Here is a 22,979-nt window from a genome sequence, read left to right as displayed (position 1 = left end):
CTCAGGATACAAAATCAATGTGCAAAAATCACAAGCGTTCCTATACACCAATAACAGACAAACAGAGAGCCAAATCATGAGCGAACTCCCATTCACAATTGCTTCAAAGAGAATAAAATACCTAGGAATCCAACTTACAAGGGATGTGAAGGACCTCTTCAAGGGGAACTACAAACCACTGCTCAATGAAATAGAAGAGGACACAAACAAATGGAAGAACATTCCATGCTCATGGATAGGAAGAATCAATATTGTGAAAATGGCCATACTGCCCAAGGTAATTTATAGATTCAATACCATCCCCATCAAGCTACCAACGACTTTCTTCGTAGAATTGGAAAAACCTACTTTAAAGTTCATATGGAATCAAAAAAGAGCCCGCATTGCCAAGACAATCCTAAGCCAAAAGAACAAAGCTGGAGGCATCACGCTACCTGACTTCAAACTATACTACAAGGCTACAGTAACCAAAATAGCATGGTACTGGTAACCAAAACAGAGATATAGACCAATGGAACAGAACAGAGCCCTCAGAAATAATGCCACACATCTACAACCATCTGACCTTTGACAAACCTGATAAAAACAAGAAATGGGGAAAGGATTCCCTATTTAATAAATGGTACTGGGAAAACTGGCTAGACATATATAGAAAGCTGAAACTGGATCCCTTCCTTACAGCTTATACAAAAATTAATTCAAGATGGATTAAAGACTTAAATGTCAGACTTACCACCATAAAAACTCTAGAAGAAAACCTAGGCAATACCATTCAGGACATGGGCATGGGCAAGGACTTCATGACTAAAACACCAAAAGCAATAACAACAAAAGACAAAATAGACAAATGGGATCTAATTAAACCAAAGAGCTTCTGCAGAGCAAAAGAAACCACCATCAGAGTGAACAGGCAACCTACAGAATGGGAGAAAATTTTTACAATCTACCCATCTGACAAAGGGCTAATATCCAGAATCTACAACGAACGTAAACAAATTTACAAGAAATAAATCAAACAACCCCATCAAAACTAGGCAATGGATATGAACAGACACTTCCCAAAAGAAGACATTTATGCAGCCAACAGACACATGAAAAAATGCTCATCATCACTGCCCATCAGAGAAATGCAAATCAAAACCACAATGAGATACCATCTCGCAACAGTTAGAATGGTGATCATTAAAAAGTCAGGAAACAACAGGTGCTGGAGAGGATATGGAGAAATAGGAACACTTTTACACTGTTGTTGGGACTGTAAATTAGTTCAACCATTGTGGAAGACAGTGTGGTGATTCCTCAAGGATCTAGAACTAGAAATACCATTTGACCCAGCCATCCCATTACTGGGTATATACCCAAAGGATTATAAATCATGCTACTATCAAGACACATGCACACGTATATTTATTGTGGCACTACTCACAATAGCAAAGACCTGGAACCAACCCAAATGTCCATCAATGACAGACTGGATTAAGAAAATGTGGCACATATAGACCATGGAATACTATGCAGTGATAAAAAAGGATGAGTTCACGTCCTTTGTAGAGACATGGATGAAGCTGGAAACCATCATTCTGAGCAAACTATCGCAAGGATAGAAAAACAAACACCTATGTCACTCATAGGTGGGAATTGAACAATGAGAACACTTGGACACAGGATGGGGAACATCACACAGTGGGGCCTGTTGTGGGGTGGGGGGAGGGGGGAAGGATAGCATTCGGAGATATACCTAATGTAAATGACCAGTTAATGGATGCAGCACACCAACATGGCACATGTATACATATGTAACAAACCTGCACGTTGTACACATGTACCCTAGAACTTAAAGTATAATAATAATAAAAAAGAAATATTTTAAATGATTTAAATATCTGTTATTAGGGAACTAATTAAACAGTATAAGTATACAATGGAACTCATAAAGCAATAAAAAAGACTACATAAATCTGTATTTCACACAGAAAGATGTCTATTATGATATATTAAATGAACAGTTTCAAAACAAACAAAAGTTGAAAATAAGACTTTCAAATCACCTGGTATAATTCCATTTTTTAAAATAAAACAAGGTATGTGAATCATAAAATATAAAACTGGAAGATTATATATAAAATGTTAATCAGGACTATTTCAGGATGGGGAGAATTACGGATGAATTACAAGGCCTTTTTATTTTCTATGTTGTTGAACTCTTTATATTTAACTATCCTTTTATCTTTATACTTAATAAAAGATTACATATTTGGTAATAAAGAGAAAGATGTAAGGCAGTAGAAACATCAACAGAAGCCATCCTGTCACACTTGTCCTCCCCAGTCCATGTGAGGAATGACTAAAGCATGGTTCCAGTGAAGAGGAAGCAGCCTATAGATACAGAGAAGCTGAGTAAATAGGAGAGAGAGAAACACTGAGAAAACAGGTGATGGATTTTAGGAAATAGACAGGTATAATGAATCTCCTCTTCCATGACTGAAATATACAAACAAACAAAACATGAAAAGAATCTTCAGAATCCAGAGAAGGGGCTCAACTCATATCACAAATTTAGAGCTAATACACAGTTCTTTCTCCACAAAGGATCATACATACAGAGGGTGAAAGGTGAGTCATTACATTCAAAATACCCTACGGATAGCCCACTTTTGACAGAAAAGGTGACTAAGGTAAGAGATAAACTTCTCAACTAGAGACATGCAACCCTGTTTAAAAAAGAAAACAGCATTTCTGCCCCAGCTTGAATGAAGATTAATCATATACTCCTTCTAGCCAGAAAGAAATCAGAAAAATGTCTAGAAAATTATCTCTTAGATCTGAATAGCTTAGCTGCATTATGAAGATTTGCTAGAAAAAAAATCAGGCCCAGCAATATTACTGTACACTAGGAAGCCACCAAAGCAGCCAACAGCCACCTTAAAGAAGTACAAAAGCAAAACCTCAAGGGCACGTCCCATAGAACTAGGTATTTCCCTTACCCTGCAATTGCTAAAGCAGCCATCAGTTTGTGAGTTTTAAAACAATCGCAGAGAAAAATGTCACTTCAGGAGGTTGCACAGAGTCCTAGAATCACCTACTCCCTCTCTGGCTTCTCCAAGCTCCAAGGAACAAAATTAATACAAACCACACACAATTACCAGTCATGTCCTGGGAAGGGGATTCAAACAGCAACTTATAAACATGTATAAGGCAGTTAAAGAGAATTCAACCACATTACTATGGGCAACTAAATGGTTTCCATAGTGAGTGAGAGCCCCTGGGGGATCTACACTTCCTGCGGGGACCTGTGCAATCCTGGGATGGGAGATTCCTCCTGACCCCCAGGCATATAGACTGATACAGGGAGCTGCCTGCCCAGAGTGTATAAGGAGGCAACACTCAAGTCCACAAGGGACCTCCATAGGCCTTGGACCCCAGAGCAGCCTGGTAGATGCACAAAACATCTTCCATGAAATCCAACACCCCTTCATGATAAAAACCCTTAACAGACAAGGCATTGAAGGAACACACCTCAAAATAATAAGAGCTTTCTATGACTAACATAGAGCCAACATCATACTGAATAGGCAGAAGTTGGAAGTATTCCCCTTGAGAACTGGAACAAGACAAGGATGCCCATTCTCACCACTTCTAGTACTGAAAGTCTGAGCCAGAGCAATTATGGAAGAGAAAGAAGTGAAAGGCATCCAAATAGGAAAACAAGATGTCAAACTATCTCTCTTTGCTGATGATATGAGTTACATAGAATACCCTAAAGACTCCACCAAAAGCCTCCTGGACCTGATGAACAAATTATTAAAGTTTCAGGATACAAAATCAGTAGCATTTCTCTACATCAGTAACGTTCTAGCTGAGAACCAAATGAAGAACACAATCCCATTTACAATAACCACAAAAAATGAAATACCTAATCAAGGAGGTGAAAGATCTCTACAAGGAGAACTATAAAACATTGCTGAATGAAATCAGAGATGACAAATAAATGGAAAAAAATTCCATGCTTATGGATGAGAAGAATCAATATTATTGTTAAAATGGCCACACTTCCCAAAGCAATTTACAGATTCAATGCTATCCCTATCAAAATAGCATATCATTTTTCACAGAATTAGAAAAATGTATTCTAAAATTCATTTGGAACCAAACAAGAACCCAAATAGTCAAAGCAATCCCAAGCAAAAACACCAAAGCCAAAGGCATCACATTACCCAACTTAAAACTCCACTGTAAGGCTACAGTAACCAAAACAGCATGGTACCGGTACAAAAACAGACAAATAGACCAATGGAACAGAGTAGAGAACTCAGAAATAAACCTGCACACCTACAACCATCTGACCTTCAAAAAATTGGCAAAAATAAGCAATGAAGAAAGAACTCTGTATTCAATAAATGGTGCTGGGATAACTGGCTAGCCATATGCAGAAGAAACTGGACCCTTACCTCTCACTATATTTAAAAAAATCAAGGTACATTAAAGATTTAAATGGAGGACCTCAAACTACAAAAATCCTAGCAGAAAACCTAGGAAATACCCTTCTCAATATTGGCTTTGGAAAATAGTTTATGGCTAAGTCCTGAATAGCAATTGTAACAAAATAAAAAAATTGATGATTGGTACCTAATTAAACCAAAGAGCTTCTGTACAGTAAAATAAATGATCAATCAAGAGACAACTCACAGAATGGGAGAAAATATTAGGAAATTATGCATCCAACAAATCTCTAATGTCCAGAATCTGTAAGGAAATGTAAAAATTTAAAAAGCAAAAATCAAATAATTCCATTTGTAAAAATGGGCAAAGGGGCTGGGCACGGTGGCTCACACCTGTAATCTCAGCACTTTGGGAGGCCAAGGTGGGAAGATCAATTGAGGCCAGGAGTTCAAGACCAGCCTGGCCAATATGGCGAAACCCCATCTCTACTAAAAATTTAAAAAATTAGCTGGCCAATATGGCGAAATCCCATCTCTACTAAAAATTTAAAAATTAGCTGTAATCCCAGCTACTCAGGAGGCTGAGGCACAAGAATTGCTTGAACCTGGGAGGCGGAGGTTGCAGTGAGCCAAGATCGTGCCACTGCACTACCGCCTAGGTGACAGAGTGAGACCCTTTCTCAAAAAAAAAAAAAAAAAAAAAAAAGTAGGGGGAGCAAAGAACAGGAAGACACTTCTCAAAAGCAGATGTACAAGCAGCTGACAAACATGAAAAAATGCTCAACATCACCATTCATCAGAGAAATACAAATCAAAACCACAATGAGATAACATCTCACACCAGTCAGAATTCTGATTATTAAAAAGTCAAAAAATAACAGATGCAGTCAAGGCTGCAGAGAAAAGGGAATGCTTATACACTGTTGGTAGGAATGCAAACTGGTTCAGCCATTGTATAAAGCAGTTGGGAGATTTCTCAAAGAACTGAAAAAGAACCACTGTTCAACCCAGCGATCCCACTACTGGGTATATATTCGAAGGAAAAGAATTCATTCTGTCAAAAAATCTCATGTACTCACATGCTCTTTCCCGCACTATTCATAATAGCAAAGACATGAAATCAACCTAGGTGGCCACCAACAGTGGATGGATAAAGAAAATGTAGTGTATATACACCACGAAATACCGTGCAGACATAAAAATAAAATAAAATCATGCCCTTTGCAGCAGCATGGATGGAGCTGGAGGCCATTATCCTAAGCCAATTAATGCAAGAACAGAAAACCAAATACTGCATGTTCTCACTTACAAGCGGGAGCTGAACACTGAATATACATAAAGATGAGAATAATACAAAGTGAGGACTTCTAGATGGGAGGAAAGGAGGAGGGAATGGGCTGAAAAACCACCGATTGGGTACTATGCTCACCACCTGGGTGATGGGATTATTTATACCCCAAACCTCAGTGTCAAGCAATATACCCATGTAATAAATGTGCACATGTGTCCTTTAATCTATAATAAAAATTGAAATTATTTTAAAAAGGAATTAGAAAAAGATGAGCTCTACGTAACTAAAGTTCTATGTAACTAAAACAAAAATAAGTAGAAGGAGGGAAATGCTAAATGTTAGAATGGAAATAAATAAAACAGAGATTAGGAAAATGCAAGAGAAAATTAAAGAAACCAAGTTTGGTCTTTGAAAACATCAACAAAAACTGAAATCTTTAGCTAGATTCACCAAGGAAAAACCGAAGACTCAAATCACTAAAATTAAGAATGGATGAGGGGATACTATGAACAATCATATACCAAGATATTAGACAACCTAGATTAAGTAGACAAATTTCTAGATAAAGAAATGATCAAAATCGATTCAAGAAGAAATAAAAAATCTCAGTAGGCTTATAATGAGAAAAGACTGAGTTAATAATCAGAAAACTTCTCCAAAAGTAAAGCTTGGACCAAGCTTCACTGATAAGTTCTGCCAAATATTTAAAGAAGAGGTAACACCAATTATTCACAATCTCATACAAAAAACATAATCAGAAGGATCACTTCTTGATTCCTTCTATGTAGGCCAGTATTATCCTGATATCAAAGGCAGACGAAGATATCACAGAACTGCAGACCAATATCCCTTGTGACTACAGATGTAAAATACTACAAAAATACTAGCTCACTGAATCCAAGAAGACAGAAACGGGATTACACATCAAAACCAAGTGGGATTTATCTCAGGAATGCAAGGTTGGTTTATCATATGAATAAATCAATATAATGCACCATATTAATAGAATAAAGGGAAAACATATAATCAGCTCAATAGAAATAGAAAAGGCTTCTGGCAAAATAAAAAACCCTTTCATGGTAAAAACACTCAACAAACTAGGAATGGAAGGGAACTTCCTCAACCTGTTAAAGGGCATCTACAAATAACTCATCCCTCATATTATGCTTAATGACTGTCAAGCTTTCCCTTTTAAGATTAGGAACAAGACAAGGACATCCATTCTTGCCACTTCTATTCAACATAGTTCTGGAGGTTCAAACAAAGGCAATCAGCAAAGAAAAAGAAAAAATAGCATAAGATTAGAAAGAAAAACCATCTCTATTTGAAGATGACATGGTATTCTATATAGAAAATCCTAAGGCACACATATACACACACAAATTATTAGAGCTGATAAACAAGTTCAGCAAGCTTGTACAATCTATGATCAATGTAAGAAAAATCAGTTGTATTTCTATACACTAGCAGTAAACAACCTAGAAATGAAATTAGGAAAACAAATTCATTTACAATGGCATTAGAAAGAAGAAAATATATAGAAATACATTTAATGACAGATGTGCCGAACTGCAAAGAAGTAAAAACTATAAACATTGTTGAAAGAAATGAAAGAAGACTTAACTAAATGGGAATAGATCCCATGTTCATAGATTAGAAGTCTTAATATTTTTAAGATGTCAGTACTCCCCAATTCCAACTATAGATTCAATGACATCCCTACCAAGATTCATGCTGCCTTTTATTTTTTTTCAGAGACTGGCAAGCTGATCTTAAAGTTCACAGAACCCATAAATAGCTAAAGCAATTTTATAAAAGAAAAACAAAGTTGGAGGACTCACACATCAAAATTTACCACAAGAACACCACAACAAGACGGTGTGGTGGTGGCATTTGCAGAGACATATGGATCAATGAAATAGAATTAAGAGTCTAGAAATAAACTCTTACATTTATGGTCAATTAATTTTTGGCAAAGGACCCCAGACAATTTAATGGAAGAAAGAATAGTCTCTGCAACAAATGGTGCGGGGTCAACTGGATATCCATATGCAAAAAATGAAACTGTATCCCCTGCCTCACATTACATACAAAAATTAGCTAAAAAATGATCATAGACCCTAATTTAAGAGCTAAAATTATAATACTCTTAGAAAAAAGCAAAGAAGTAAACTTTTTTTGTGTGTGATGTTGGGTTAGGCAATAGTTTTAAACACAACATGAAAAACACAAATGACAAAAGTAGATAAATTGGACTTTGTCAAAACTAAAAATTTTGTACTGCAAATGATACCATCGAAAGTGAAAAGCATCCCAAAGAATGGGAGACATGTTTTCAAATTACATAGTGAATAAGGGACTGCTGTTCAGAATATATGGAGAACACGTCGAACCCAATAATAAAAGAACAAAAATAAGCCAATTTAAACATGAGCATAGGATCTGAATAGAAATTTCTGCAAAGAAGATATTCAAATGGCTAATAGGCACTTAAAAAGGTGCTTCTCATTATTAGTCATTAGAGAAATGCAAATCAAAACCACAATGAGATGACACTTCACACTCATTAGGATGGTTATAATCAAAAATCAGAAAATAACAATTATTGACGAGGACGTGGAAATACTGAAACCCTAATATGATCCTGGTGGAAATATAACGCGGCACAGCCACTTTGGAAAACAGTTGGGGAGTTACTCAAAGGTTAAACAGAGAGTTACCATATGACCCAGCTGTTCTACTCCTACGTATATATCCAAGAGAACTGAAAAAATTATGTCCACACAAAAACGTGTACACAATCTATAACAATTTATAACAGCATTATTTGTGAAAGTAAAAAAGTACAAACAACCCAAGTATCCATCCATTCATGAATATATAAATAAAATGTTGTAAATCCACGTAACGGATTTTATTCTGCAAACCAAAAAATGAAGTACTGATATACGCTACAACCTTAAAAATATCATGTTAAGTCAAAGAAGCTAGATACAAAAAGCCACATATTTTACAATTCCATTTATGTGGAATGTCTCATATAGGCAAACCCATAGAGACAGAAAGTAGATTAGTGGTTGCCAGGGCGAGGCGGGGGTGCAAGAACAAGGGTAATGGGAGGTAACTGCTAATGGGCACACGGTTTCTTTTTGGGGAGACAAAAATGTTCAGGAATTAGGGGTGAAGGATGTATAACTTTCTGAATATACAAAAACATGCTGAATTATATACTAAAAAAGAATTGTATGGAATGTGAATTTTATCTCAATTAATAAAAAAACAGAGCTTGACCTACATTGAGACATACCCTAGAAAAGTAACTAGACTTAAAATCTTTTTTTTTTATTTTGTTCAATTTTTTTTTAATTATACTTTAAGTTTTAGGGTACATGTGCACATTGTGCAGGTTAGTTACATATGTATACATGTGCCATGCTGGTGCGCTGCACCCACTAACTCGTCATCTAGCATTAGGTATATCTCCCAATGCTACCCCTCCCCCCTCCCCCCACCCCACAACAGTCCCCAGAGTGTGATATTCCCCTTCCTGTGTCCATGTGATCTCATTGTTCAATTCCCACCTATGAGTGAGAATATGCGGTGTTTGGTTTCTTGTTCTTGCGATAGTTTACTGAGAATGATGATTTCCAATTTCATCCATGTCCCTAAAAAGGACATGAACTCATCATTTTTTATGGCTGCATAGTATAAAATCTTAAAAACCTACAAGAATCCACGAATAAGTAAAGCTAGTCAATGTAGTAATACTACTACAATGAGCTGACACAAAATCCACAAAATATAACCATTATTGGTTAGTTGGGGGAATGTCTGTATGTGGGGGCACAGGTGGGGAGAAGTGCAGTCACTTTCTTAATTTTTCATATGATAGAGTCAACAGATACTGTTTCGTGTCTGAGAGTGATAGATTGAGAAAGTGGTTGAAGGATATTAGTTAATTAGATTACATGGCCGCTAAGTTATCAGAAAAACAGCTCAAAGAAACATATATTATGGCCGGGCATGGTGGCTCACGCCTGTAATCCCAGCACTTTGGGAGGCTGAGGCAGGCAGATCACGAGGTCAGGAGTTCAAGACCAGCCTGACCACCATGGTGAAACCCCATCTCTACTAAAAATACAAAAATTAGCCGGGCATGGTGGCACATGCCTGTAATCCCAGCTACTCAGGAGGCTGAGGCAAGAGAATAGCTTGAACCCGGGAGGTGGAGGTTGCAGTGAGCCAAGATCATGCCCCTGTACTCCAGCCTGGGTAACAGAGCGAGACTCAATCTCCAAAAATAAAATAAAATAAGAAGCATATATTACATAGTAATGAACAAAAAAGATTGGAAATGGCAAGAAATCAGTAAAAATCATAAGACATCCTGAACAGCCAAAACAATTTTGAAAGAGAACAACAATGTTGGAGGACTCACATTTCCTGATTTTAAAACATATTACTGGCTGGGCACGGCGTCTCAGACCTGTAATCTCAGGACTTCTGGAGACCAAGACTGGGGGATCACTTGAGCCCAGAAATTTGATATCAGACTGGGAAACACAGTGAGACCCCATCTCTACAAAAAACAAACAAACCAAAATAATCAACAACAACCGAAAACCCAAACATATTACCAAAGGTGCAATAATCAAAATAGTGTGATAGTAGCATAAAGACAGACGAATAGACCAACGAAATATGATAAAGTGCCTACAAATAAACTCTCACATATGGTCAAATGATTTTTTTTTTTTTTTTGAGGCAAGGTCTTGCTCTGTCGCCCAGGCTGGAGTGCAGTGGCACGATCTTGGCTCTCTGCAACCTCTGCCTCCTGGGTTCAAGTGATTCTCCTGTCTCAGCCTCCTGAGTAGCTAGGACTACAGATGTGCGCCACCACACCCAGCTAATTTTTTGTATTTTTAGTAGAGACAGGGTTTCACCATGTTGGCCAGGCTGGTCTTGAACTCCTTACCTCAGGTGATCCACCCACCTCGGCCTCCCAAATTGCTGGGATTACAGGTGTGAGCCACTGTCCCTGGCCAAAATGATTTTTGACAAGGGTGCCAAGACCACTCAATGGGAAAAGAACAGATTTTTCACAAATGATGCTTGGAAACCTGGACATTCACATGCAAAAGAATGAAGTTGGACTCTAGTCTTATGTAAAAAAATTAACTCAAAATGGATTAAAGACCTATGTGTAAGGCCTAAAACTATCAAAGTCTTGGAAGAAAACATAGAGGAAAGGCTTTGTGACATTGAATATGGCAGTGCTTTCTTGAATATGACACCAAAAGCACAGGCAACAAAAGCAAAAATAGACAAATGGGACCACCAGGCTTAAGTTGTGCCTCAGGGGATGCATTCAACAGAGTAAAAGACAACCTACGGATTGGGAGAAAATATTTGCAACTCATGATTCTGATATACAGAATACACAAATAACTCTCAGAATTCAACAATGACAACAAAATCAATAACCTGACCAAAAATGGGCAAAGGAATTGAATAGACATTTCTCCAAAGTTGATATACAAATGGCCAACAAGCATGTGAAAAGATGCTCTATATCGCCAATCATCAGAGCAATGCAAATCAAAACAACAATGAAATATCACCTCACACCCACTAGGACGGTCATTATAAAAAAAAAAGAAAATAACAAGTATTGGTGAGGATGTAGATAAAATGGGTCTCATGTGTGCTGTTGGTGGCAATGTAAAATGGCACAACTGCTCTGGAAATCAGTATTGAGATTCCTCCAAAGGTGAAACTTAGAACTACCATTTGATTCAGTAATCCCTCTTCTGAGTATGTCTCCAAAAGCACAGTAAGCAGGGACTTAAAAAGCTAACAGCATACCCATGCTCACAGCAGCACAACTCACAATAGGCAAATGTGGAAGCAACACAGATGCCCATCCACTGAGGAATGGATACATAAATGTGGCACACACAACCCACGGAAAATTATCCTGACTTAAAAAGGGAGGAAATCCTGTCACATGCTACAACATGGATGAATCTTAAGGATCTTATGCTAAGTGAAATGAGTCAGTCACTAAAGGGTAGATATTTTATTTCTCTTATCACACAAAATCAGGAATTAAAAGATATTTCTTATCTTCCAAACTTGGTATCGACAAATTCACAGAGACAGAAAGTAGAATGGTGGTTACCAGAAGCTGGGGGAGGAGGACAAGGGAAGTTGTTATTCAATGGGTATAGAGTTTCAGGTTTGCAATATTCAAATGTTCTGGAGATCTGTCTCACAACAATGTGAATATATTTAACATTACTGACCTGTACACTTAAGAATGCTTAAGATGGTAAACTTTATGTTAGGTGTTTTTTACTCCTTCCCACCGTTTGAAATGGAATTTAGTTTAACAAACATTAACTTAATAAGTTTACCAGAAAAGGAAAAAAAAACAAAAAGGGAAATGATAAAATTTAAACCAAACATATTTGTTACAACAATGAACTTAAGTTGAACTCACTTCAAAAAAAGACCTTCAAATTGGGTGGGGGAAAAAAGTTAAATTCAAGTAGGTGCTACTTCCACTTGAGTGAAGTGACTCAGAAAAGCCAAAAGTAAAAGGATGGACAAAGAGCAATGGTACAAATCCACATTTAATAAAACTGTATTGGATGAAGTAGAATAAAAGGCAAAACATATTCAAAATGTAAAATAAAAGTTACTTTATATGATTTATGGTATGATTCACAGTGAAAAAAGTGTCATTAATATTCATGTCATTAATATTTATGTGCCGAAAATAAAAATATATATAACCAGGCCGGGTGCTGTGGCTCATGCCTGTAATCTCAGCACTTTGGGAAGCCGAGGTGGGTGGAACGCTTGAGGTCAGGAGTTTGAGACCATCCTGGCCAACATGGTGAAACCCCATCTCTACTAAAAATACAAAACTTAGCCGGGTGTGGTGGTGCACACCTATAGTCCAAGATACTCAGGAGGCTGTGGCAGGAGAATCGTTTGAATCCAGGAGGCAGAGGTTGCAGTAAGTCGAGATCACGCCACTGCCCTCCAACCTGGGTGACAGAGGCAGATTCCTTCTCAAAAAAAAAAAAAAAAAAAAAAAAAAAAAATATATATATATATATATATATAAAACCATTCAATTAACAAAAGCTATATTCAATTAACTTAAAATATACTCTTTGAAGTTCTCGACAGATTAAGAAAATCAATATTCAGGAAGAATATAATTTAATTAATAAAATGATTTAATAGATGTATATTAAGAAATGCATTGTTAGGTGATTTCATTGTTGTGTGAACATCACAGCGTATGCTTACTCAAACCTAGATGGTACAGCCTACTACACATCTAGGCTATAAGGTATAGCCTATTGCTCCTAGGCTACAAACCTGTACAGCATGTTACTCTACTGACTATTGTAGGTAATTTTAACACAGTGGTAAGTATTTGTGTATCTAAAATATCTACATAAAGAAAAGGTGTAGGAAAAATATACTATTTTAATCTCATGGGACTGCTATCATTTATATGTTCTGTGGCTGACTGAAATGTTGTGTGGAATCTGACAGTGACTGGAATGTCATACTCTATTTGGAAACTCTACCTTCTTTAAAACACCCATGGATTACTTATATTTAGCCACAAAGAAAATCTCTATGTATCCTTAAAACACAAATAGAACACAGTACAATCTCTAATCACAATACATTAAAATTATAACTTAATAAGTAGTGACAATAAATCCAACATGGAATTAGCAAAAAAAAAACTCTTATATGTCTTTTGAATTAAATAGAAAATCCAAAGCTACAGTTACATAACATCTAGAAAGTAATACCAATAAGAATACTAATAGGTACTAATATACTGGGTATATACACCTGATTTCCACTTCCATATCTAGAAAACTGGATACTATATTGCTCCCCGCCTTATGGTAAGACAACAACAATGGCAAAGGGGTAGAAATGGCAAGTTCTTAACTTTTCTGAAAGCCAGCAGCAAGTTGAGGAGTGGAGGGAAGAGAGCGTGAGGCAGGCTTGGTATTGATTGTGCCTTGGCCCCAGGCCTGCTCTAAGGGCAGCCTGCTCTGCCCAGGTCCTTTCAGGTTCCAACAACTCTCCCTCCTCCTCAGGGCTATGGGTTCCTGTGCCATCCTTGTTGCTCCCCTCTACCCATCTACACTTTCATAATTAGTCCTTTGATTACCTATATCTACGAAGCTACTTGAAATGTTGGGACCTGATATCTTCTGTAGAGAATTTGTTAAAAGGTTAGGTTAAAGAACGTGTCCTCTCTGAAGAGCTAGGACCACCATCCTCGGATTTCTGGACATCTAACCAAGGATGACCTATCTGTCTACTTTCATTCTGCTTCATATGATAAGTCCAGGGCACTGATCTGATGTTGGGTTATTGATGAGAGATTGGGGGAGATGATATCCTTTCCAGGAGCCTATGTTAAATGAGTCTGAATCGATTTTTCTCTTCCTCTGAGACTCCCAGAATGTATTGGCCCTGGATTGTCCACCTTCCGCCTCACTGGCCCCTTTCCAGGCTGGGCTGGTCCAGTGGAGGAGTGATCTTCCCGGATGCAGGCATGGGGTGGCACTGACACGCTGCTCTGAAACCTGACAGCTCTGGGAATAACAGTGACTCCAACAATACAATGATTTATTATAATCAGGTTCATAGAGGCAATAGAAAGACAAAATAGTTTATCAGGGTAGTTGAACTGTTAATTTCTAGTCTAATTAACTATGATAAGTTAATTATTAAGTAAGCAACAAATGGCAGCAATACAAGTGCTTAATGAGAAATGCAAAGGCTTCCAAGGAGGGAGGGACTGGGACCAGATTCATCTGGTTGGGTGGTCAGAAGTGGACGGAGCAGGTAGCACTAAACTGGATCTTGAAGAAGGAACAGAGCCTTAGTCACATATGGGAATTTGGTCAAGGGTGTCCTGACCACTGGCAACAGGATGGGGGTGATGGGGCCTTACTGGTGAATCTTATGCGCCTCCACACAGAGCTGCTTCTCTGGGCTTGTGAGGCTTTATGTGAATTTCAGACTCACTAAACACTTGTCAAATCCCTGCCTGCAGGGTCAGCATGCTGTACTGAAAAAGTAAAACAGTGCAGGCTTTGGAGTCAGAGCTACCTTAGGTTTGAGCTTTCACTTCCCATATGGGGCCGTGGAGAGGAAACCTCAGGTTTCTGGACCTCAGTTTCCCATTTGCCAAATGGGGATGTTAATAATACCAACCTTAGCTCCAAGGCTGTTAACATGAAATTGCACAACATGGGAAGCCCTCTTTCTCACAGTGCTGGGCATCTAATAACTTCTTGGTAAAAAAACAGCTATTGCTTCTTCCCTTTATGTTCTAGGCAGTAGTGCTGAGGCAGGCAGTGGAGTAAAATAAGGTTCACTGCTGGTGGGAAAGTAAACTACAGCTGACACTTTGGAAGACAGTTTGGCATTTCCTCAAAATGTTAAACAGGATTAAAATATGAACCAGCAATTTTGCTCCTAGGTATACATCGAAAGAATTGATAATAGGTATTCAAATAACTGCTTGTACCTGAATGTTCACAGCAGCACCATTCACAATAACCAAAACGTAGAAACAACCTTAATGTCCATCAATGAATGAATGGATAAACAAAGTGCAGTATAAACATACATGGAATATTATTGAGCCCTAAAAAGGAATGAAGTACTGATGCATGATGCAATACGAATGAATTTTGAAAACATCAGCTGAAAGAAGCCACACATAAAAGGTCAGATATTGTACAATTCCATTTATATGAAGTATCCACAATAAATAAATCCATAGAGACAGAAAGCAGATTAGGTTGCCAGGGACTGGGGAGAGAGGGAAATAAGGGGGAACCACTTAATGAATAAGGAATTTCCTTTTGCGGTGATAAAAATGATTTGGAACAAGAAAGGGGTGGTCGTTGCACAATATTGTGAATGTACTAAATGCCACTGAATTGTGCACATTAATAGGATTAATTGAAATAATAAAATAAAACCGAACACGGGTCTTACCTTTAGGAGCTCACAATCATAACTGAGTCCCTTTAGACTCCCAAGATTCAGTTTCACTGTCTGAAAGCAGGGCCAAGTGCCTAGAATGTGCAAAGACCTTCAGAGTTTATCTTTTATGCAGAGAATCCCCCACAATTCCTCTTTTCAGAGGTAACTGCTACCAACATTTGGTGGAACCACTCAGACTTTTCTCTCTGCATGCTTGTTTGTGGATATCATTTTTCAATACCATTTTTCCAAAAATAAATCCAAACATATTGTTTTATAATCTTTTCTTGCTTGGTGCTATAGTTGGGCAATGTTTTTCATGTCAGTAAACCCTCATCAGCATTGGTCATGGCTGTGAGGTACTGTGCTACAGAAATAGAGCAGGATTTATTCAGCCAGTCCCCTCTTGTTGCACTTTCGGTTGCTTCTATGACAATAAACTTTACAGTGATAAACATCCTTATGCAAACATCTTTGCACATTTGACCAGTTACTTTCTTGAGCTCTAACCCTAGAAGTTGAATTTCGATCAAGTCTTTTCAAAGGACTTTGAGGTCGAGCAGGGTGGCTCACTCCTGAAATCTCAGTGCTTTGGGAGGCTGAGGTGGGAAGACTGCTTGAGCCCAAGGATTAGGGACCAGCCTGGGCAATATAGCAGGACCCCGTCTCTAAAAAAAACTTTTTTTTTAATTAGCCAGATGTGGTGGTGGGTGCCTGTAGGCCCAGCTACTTGAGAGGAGGACAAGGGCCGAGGCTCACTTGAACCTGTAAGCTTGAGGTTACAGTGAGTTATGACTCTGCCACTGCGCTCTGGCCTGAGCAATGGAGCGAGACTCTGTTTTGATTTAAAAAAAGGATTTTGACATGCTGTGTAATGATTCTCCAGCATGGATCTCCCATTTCAGTATTCCGTCAAAAGTGTGTGTGTCTGCACATTTCTTTGTGCTTGTCCTATATTAGCTCATACCATTCTTTTAATTCTTTACAATGATAGGTAAAACCTGGATATTAATTTGATTTTTATTTATTTGATTTCTAGTGAGTTTTTTTGTATATTCTTTTTTGCACAGTTTTAAAATATATTCATAAACCATATTTGCTTCTTCTTTAAAAAATTCTCCATTCTTATCCGGAGTCCATTCTATCCATTTGGCATTTTTTTCCTATTAATTATTAGGAAGGAAATATGAACTTTTCTGTTTTGAGGAAAACTTCCATTTGAGGAACACTCAAAATGAAAGCTTGAAAAAGAACCATCAAAGAGGGAAAGACAGACCAGGAGAGAAGGGGATAGGAAATGAAGAGCCATGTGTTAAAGCAGCTGGGTGGCTGCTGGACCCAGAAGCCTCCTCAGTTGACATTATTTGCCTGACTCTTAGTTGCTCTGCTAGGAGCCAGTCTCTTGCACATCTCTGCTCTGATCTTATTTCCCTTACATCTAAGCTCTTGGACTGACTCCAGTGCCTTAGTTCATACGGTCTGTTATAACACAATTATCATAAACTGGTAAACACTTTACATTTAGCTTGTAAACAGAAATTTATTTCTCATAGCTCTGAAGGCTGGGAATCCAAGATCAAAGTGCCAGTAGATTTATGTCTGGTGAGGACCTGTTCCTCATAAATGGCGGTTTTTGTGTATCCTCATATGGCGGAAGGGGCAAACAAGCTCCTTTGGGTCTTTCTGTAAGGGCACTGATCCCATAGGTGAAGACTTCATCCTCACGACCTAATCACCTCCCAAGATCCCACCTCTGAATACCATCACCTTGGGGATGAGGTTTCAGCATAGGAGTTTAGGGGGGACATATTCAGACCATAGCACCCAGGTACCGCAAGCAGCTTTATGAATGCAGGAACTCCCTTAGCGTTCAGCATGTTTGAGGACTATAAAGCATTACTGGTACTTGGCAGTTAGGAAACCCCTGGTGATCTTACCAAGGGTGGTTTTAGAGGGTCCGTGGAGCCAGCAGCCAGCAGTGAGGAGTGGAAATGAGGGGGCTCTATGTGGAGGTCAGACTGCTCTTCTGGGCTTACTGTGAGTGACAGCACCACTTGGAGGTAATGGAGGTGAAAGAGCTGCACTGGCCACCTTTGGAGTGGAGCCTGGGGACAGTGTGAGTGAGTCTTCCCTCCAATTAGCAGCTTCCTTCCTGTGCATGTCCGAGTGTAAGGGGTGCTTTCTATGGGGTATAGAAGAATGCTGGGTTATAGATAAGGATGGAGTGTTGGGCAGTTCCAAGATGAGCGAATAGGAACAGCTCCAGTCTACAGTTCCCAGCATAAGCGACGCAGAAGACGGGTGATTTCTGCATTTCCAACTGAGGTACCAGGTTCATCTCACTGGGACTTGTCAGACAGTGGGTGCAGGACAGTGGGTGCAGCCCACTGAGCATGAGCCGAAGCAGGGCAAGGCATCGCCTCACCCAGGAAGTGCAAGGGGTCAGGGAATTCCCTTTCCTAGCCAAGGGAAGCTGTAACAGACAGCACCTGGAAAATCAGATCACTTCCACCCCAATACTGCGCTTTTCCAATGGTCTTAGCAAACACTACACCAGGAGATTATATCCCGCGCCTGGCTTGGAGGGTCCCACGCCCACAGTGCCTCGCTTTTTGCTAGCACAGCAGTCTGAGATCGAACTGCAAGGTGGCAGCGAGGCTGGGAGAGGGGCGCCCATCATTGCTGAGGCTTGAGTAGGTAAACAAAGCAGCCAGGAAGCACGAACTGGGTGGAGCCTACCGCAGCTCAAGGAGGCCTGCCTGCCTCTGTAGACTCCACCACTGGGGGCAGGGCATAGCTGAACAAAAGGCAGCAGAAACCTCTGCAGACTTAAATGTCCCTGTCTGACAGCTTTGAAGAGAGTAGTGGTTCTCCCAGCATGGAGTTTGAGATCTGAGAATGGACAGACTGCCTCCTCAAGTGGGTCCCTGACCCCCGAGTACCCTAACTGGGAGGCATCCCCCAGGAGGGGCAGACTGACACCTCGCACGGCTGGGTACCCCTCGGAGACAAAGCTTCCAGAGGAATGATCAGGCAGCAACATTTGCTGTTCAGCAATATTCCCTGTTCTGCAGCCTCCGCTGCTGATACCCAGACAAACAGGGTCTGGAGTGGAGCTCCAGCAAACTCCAACAGACCTGCAGCTGAGGGTCCTGACTGTTAGAAGGAAAACTAACAAACAGAAAGGACCTCCACACCAAAACCCCATCTGTACATCACCATCATCAAAGACCAAATGTAGATAAAACCACAAAGATGGGGAGAAACCAGAGCAGAAAAGCTAAAAATTCTAACAATCAGAGCGCCTCTCCCGCTCCAAAGGAACACACCTCCTTGCCAGCAACGGAACAAAGCTGGACAGAGAATGACTTTGACGAGTTGAGACAAGAAGGCTTCAGACAATCAAACTTTTCGAAGCTAAAGCAGAAAGTTCAAACCCATCGCAAAGAAGCTAAAAAGTTTGAAAAAAGATTAGACGAATGGCTAACTAGAATAACCAGGGTAGAGAAGTCCTTAAATGACCTGATGGAGCTGAAAACCATGGCATGAGAACTATGTGATAAATGCACAAGCCTCAGTAGCCAATTCGATCAACTGGAAGAAAGGGTATCAGTGATTGAAGATCAAATGAATGAAATGAAGCGAGAAGAGAAGTTTAGAGAAAAAAGAGTAAAAAGAAACAAACAAAGCCTCCAAGAAATATGAGACTATGTGAAAAGACCAAATCTACATCTAATTTGTGTACCTGAAAGTGATGAGGAGAATGGAACCAAGTTGGAAAATACTCTGCAGGATATTATCCAGGAGAACTTCCCCAACCTAGCAAGGCAGGCCAACATTCAAATTCAGGAAATACAGAGAACGCCACAAAGATACTCCTCGAGAAGAGCAACTCCAAGACACATAATTGTCAGATTCACCAAAGTTGAAATGAAGGACAAAATGTTAAGGGCAGCCAGAGAGAAAGGTCGGGTTACCCACAAAGGGAAGCCCATCAGACTAACAGCTGATCTCTTGGCAGAAACTCCAATCCAGAAGAGAGTGGGGGCCAGTATTCAACATTCTTAAAGAAAAGAATTTTCAACCCAGAATTTCATATCCAGCCAAACTAAGCTTCGTAAGTGAAGGAGAAATAAAATTCTTTACAGACAAGCAAATGCTGAGAGATTTTGTCACCACCATGCCTGCCCTACAAGAGCTCCTGAAGGAAGCACTAAACCTGGAAGGGAACAACCGGTACCAGCCACTGCAAAAACATGCCAAATTGTAAAGACCGTCGATGCTAGGAAGAAACTTCATCAACTAATGAGCAAAATAACCAGCTAACATCATAATGACAGGATCAAATTCACACATAACAATATTAACCTTAAATGTAAATGGGCTGAATGCTCCAATTAAAAGACACAGACTGGCAAATTGGATAAAGAGTCAAGACCCATCAGTGTGACCATCAGGAGACCCATTACACGTGCAGAGACACACACAGGCTCAAAACAAAGGGATGGAGGAAGATCTACCAAGCAAATGGAAAACAAAAAAAGGCAGGGGTTGCAATCCTAGTCTCTGATAAAACAGACTTTAAACCAACAAAGATCAAAAGAGACAAAGAAGGCCATTACATAAAGGTAAAGGGATCAATTCAACAAGAAGAGCTCACTATCCTAAATACATATGCACCCAATACAGGAGCACCCAGATTCATAAAGCAAGTCCTTAGAGACCTACAAAGAGACTTAAACTCCCACCACAATAATAATGGGAGACTTTAACACCCCACTGTCAACTTTAGACAGATCAACGAGACAGAAAGTTAACAAGGCTATCCAGGAATTGAACTCAGCTCTGCACCAAGCAGACCTAATAGACATCTACAGAAGTCTCCACCCCAAATCAACAGAATATACATTCTTCTCAGCACCACATCGCACTTATTCCAAAATTGACCACATAGGTGGAAGTAAAGCACTCCTCAGCAAATGTAAAAGAACAGAAATTACAACAAACTGTCTCTCAGACCACATTGCAGTCAAACTAGAACTCAGGATTAAGAAACTCACTCAAAACCACTCAGCTACATGGAAACTGAACCTGCTCCTGAATGACTACTGGGTACATAATGAAATGAAGGCAGAAATAAAGATGTTCTTTGAAACCAATGAGAACAAAGACCAGAATCTCTGGGACACATTTAAAGCAGTGTGTAGAGGGAAATTTATAGCACTAAATGCCCACAAAAGAAACTCCATCATCCCAGCCCAAAAATCTCGTTAAGCTGACAAGCAAATTCAGCAAAGTCTCAGGATACAAAATCAATGTGCAAAAATCACAAGTACACCAATAAAAGACAGAGAGCCAAATCATGAGTGAACTCCCATTCACAATTGCTTCAAAGAGAATAAAATACCTAGGAATCCAACTCACAAGGGATGTGAAGGACGTCTTCAAGGAGAACTAAGTCCTAACTGTCAAGTTCACCTTCCTAACAAAGTTATTCCGGATGTGATGTCTCCACCATCGTCCTGGTCCCAGAGCCCCATCAGGTGTGTCCTCCTGGGCAGCAGCCTCGCTTCTGACATCTGGTGCCTTCATGCCAAGTCCAGGCACAGCACATAACAAGCCTTCGGCCACTGTTTGTTGAATGAATAAATGAATCTTTCAGGTCCGACAAGGAAAGCCCAGGCTTTTATCAGGAAAGCTACAAAAATGCAGAAGTCACAGTAAATCCTGGGAGCAAGAGACGCCTGAATGTCAAGTGAGGTCGCTGTGTTTTGAGGAAGCCACAGCCACGGGTGAGCATGGAGGGAGAGACAGCACACAGGGACGGAGCACAAACCTCTCCCCCTCCACGTGACCGGCAGGTTTCTGACTGAATATTGGTTAGACTCACACTAGAAGTACTCAGTGGTGCTTTGGAGCCACCGCTCACCTCTTTTGATTCCTAGGCCAACTCCTGCTTGACACTGAAATGTTGCGAGAACACTCTAAAGATGAGCCATGGACTTCCTGCCCAGACTTGATGCTCCTTAGACTTTTCCTCGGAGGTGGTGTTGGGTACCAAAGATCTGGAATCTCAGCAGCCTCCACTGGCTGGCCCTGGGTTCCTGCTGCTGACTCCCAGCTTCTGGTTTCTGCTGAAGAAGGCTGCAGGGCAGCACCTTTAGGGGAAGCCTTGACTTTTCCAGATCTGGGCTCTCTCCAGTGTTTTCCTGAATGCCCCTACCAGAAGCCTGGCTGTCGTCTCTGAGCCCTTCCTCATCCTCCTCCCTGTGTGAATCATTCCAACTCCTGCCATTTCTGCCCCAAATGCACCTCCATACGGCTCATGTCTCACCTTCTTGACTTCCTCCCTCTGGTGAAGCCACTGCTGTCTCATGGGCCTCTGCTAACCCAGGCGGCTTCTTTGTGAACCCAGAGCTAGGCACAGCCTCAAGCCATGCAGCCCACTGGATGCAGAGTTTAGCAGGCAAGCAACGCCTTTGAGCAAATAAGAAAAGGTTGCCTTTTCCTTTGGCCAGTCTCAGTTTCGTGCCATGGCTCATGGCTTGGCAACCAGAGGGAGGCCCAGTTTTAGCTCCCACCAGAGCCTCTGGGCCAGCTGCTCTTGTACAGTGAGCACCTGCATCCCTGTACTGGAGGCCCCGCTCTTGCCTGGATGTGGCATGAGCCTTGAGGGGTAGCTGCTTCCATTCCTACCTCCTCAGATCCATTGTCCACCTGCAGCCAGAGTGATGCTTGCGTGCGCACACACACACACACACACACCTCCTCCCCTCCGTGCATATCAATGTCCTCCCCTTGCTCTTGGAATAGAGTCCAAACTACCTAACCTAGATGACGGGCCCAGCGTGGCTGATCATCAATAGGTTAGCTAATCTTTGGAAGGGAAGTTTCCCTTCAATAGCATGTAAGTTGGTGTGGAAAAGGGCTTTTTCTGTTAGGTTTTGCTTTTGCCTATCTTGTATATGTTGCATCCTTGTAATTGGGCCCCTTGAGATTTCAGCACCACACCATGTTTTAGTGACTGAAATAATGAACATTCTGATCAGACCGTTGCTGGCTTGCACATGTTAACCACTTGCTTTTGGTCCAATATTCCTTGTTCCCACAACATAATGATAAACTGCTCATGTACTGTTTCTTTGTTCAGCAGGAAGACATTCCTTCAGGGTCAGGAAAAGTTTGCAGAATGAATGAAT

At 40.2% G+C, this 22,979-nt stretch overlaps 1 pseudogene across 1 annotated transcript in view; it reads right to left on the bottom strand.

Annotated features, from left to right (window-relative positions):
• ALMS1P1 (ALMS1 pseudogene 1) overlaps positions 1–21,440 on the bottom strand; it is a 40,654-nt pseudogene extending 19,214 nt beyond the window's left edge. Inside the window, exon 1 of the transcript NR_003683.2 lies at positions 21,205–21,440. The product of NR_003683.2 is annotated as an ALMS1 pseudogene 1 (transcript). The remainder of the gene's footprint in view (positions 1–21,204) is intronic.
• Between the last annotated feature and the right edge of the window lie 1,539 nt (positions 21,441–22,979).

The sequence above is a fragment of the Homo sapiens genome, chromosome 2 (assembly GCF_000001405.40).
Source record: "Homo sapiens chromosome 2, GRCh38.p14 Primary Assembly".
NCBI lineage: Eukaryota > Metazoa > Chordata > Mammalia > Primates > Hominidae > Homo > Homo sapiens.
The sequence above is the reverse complement of the archived record's forward strand: the minus strand, read 5'-3'. Positions and strand labels throughout refer to the sequence as shown.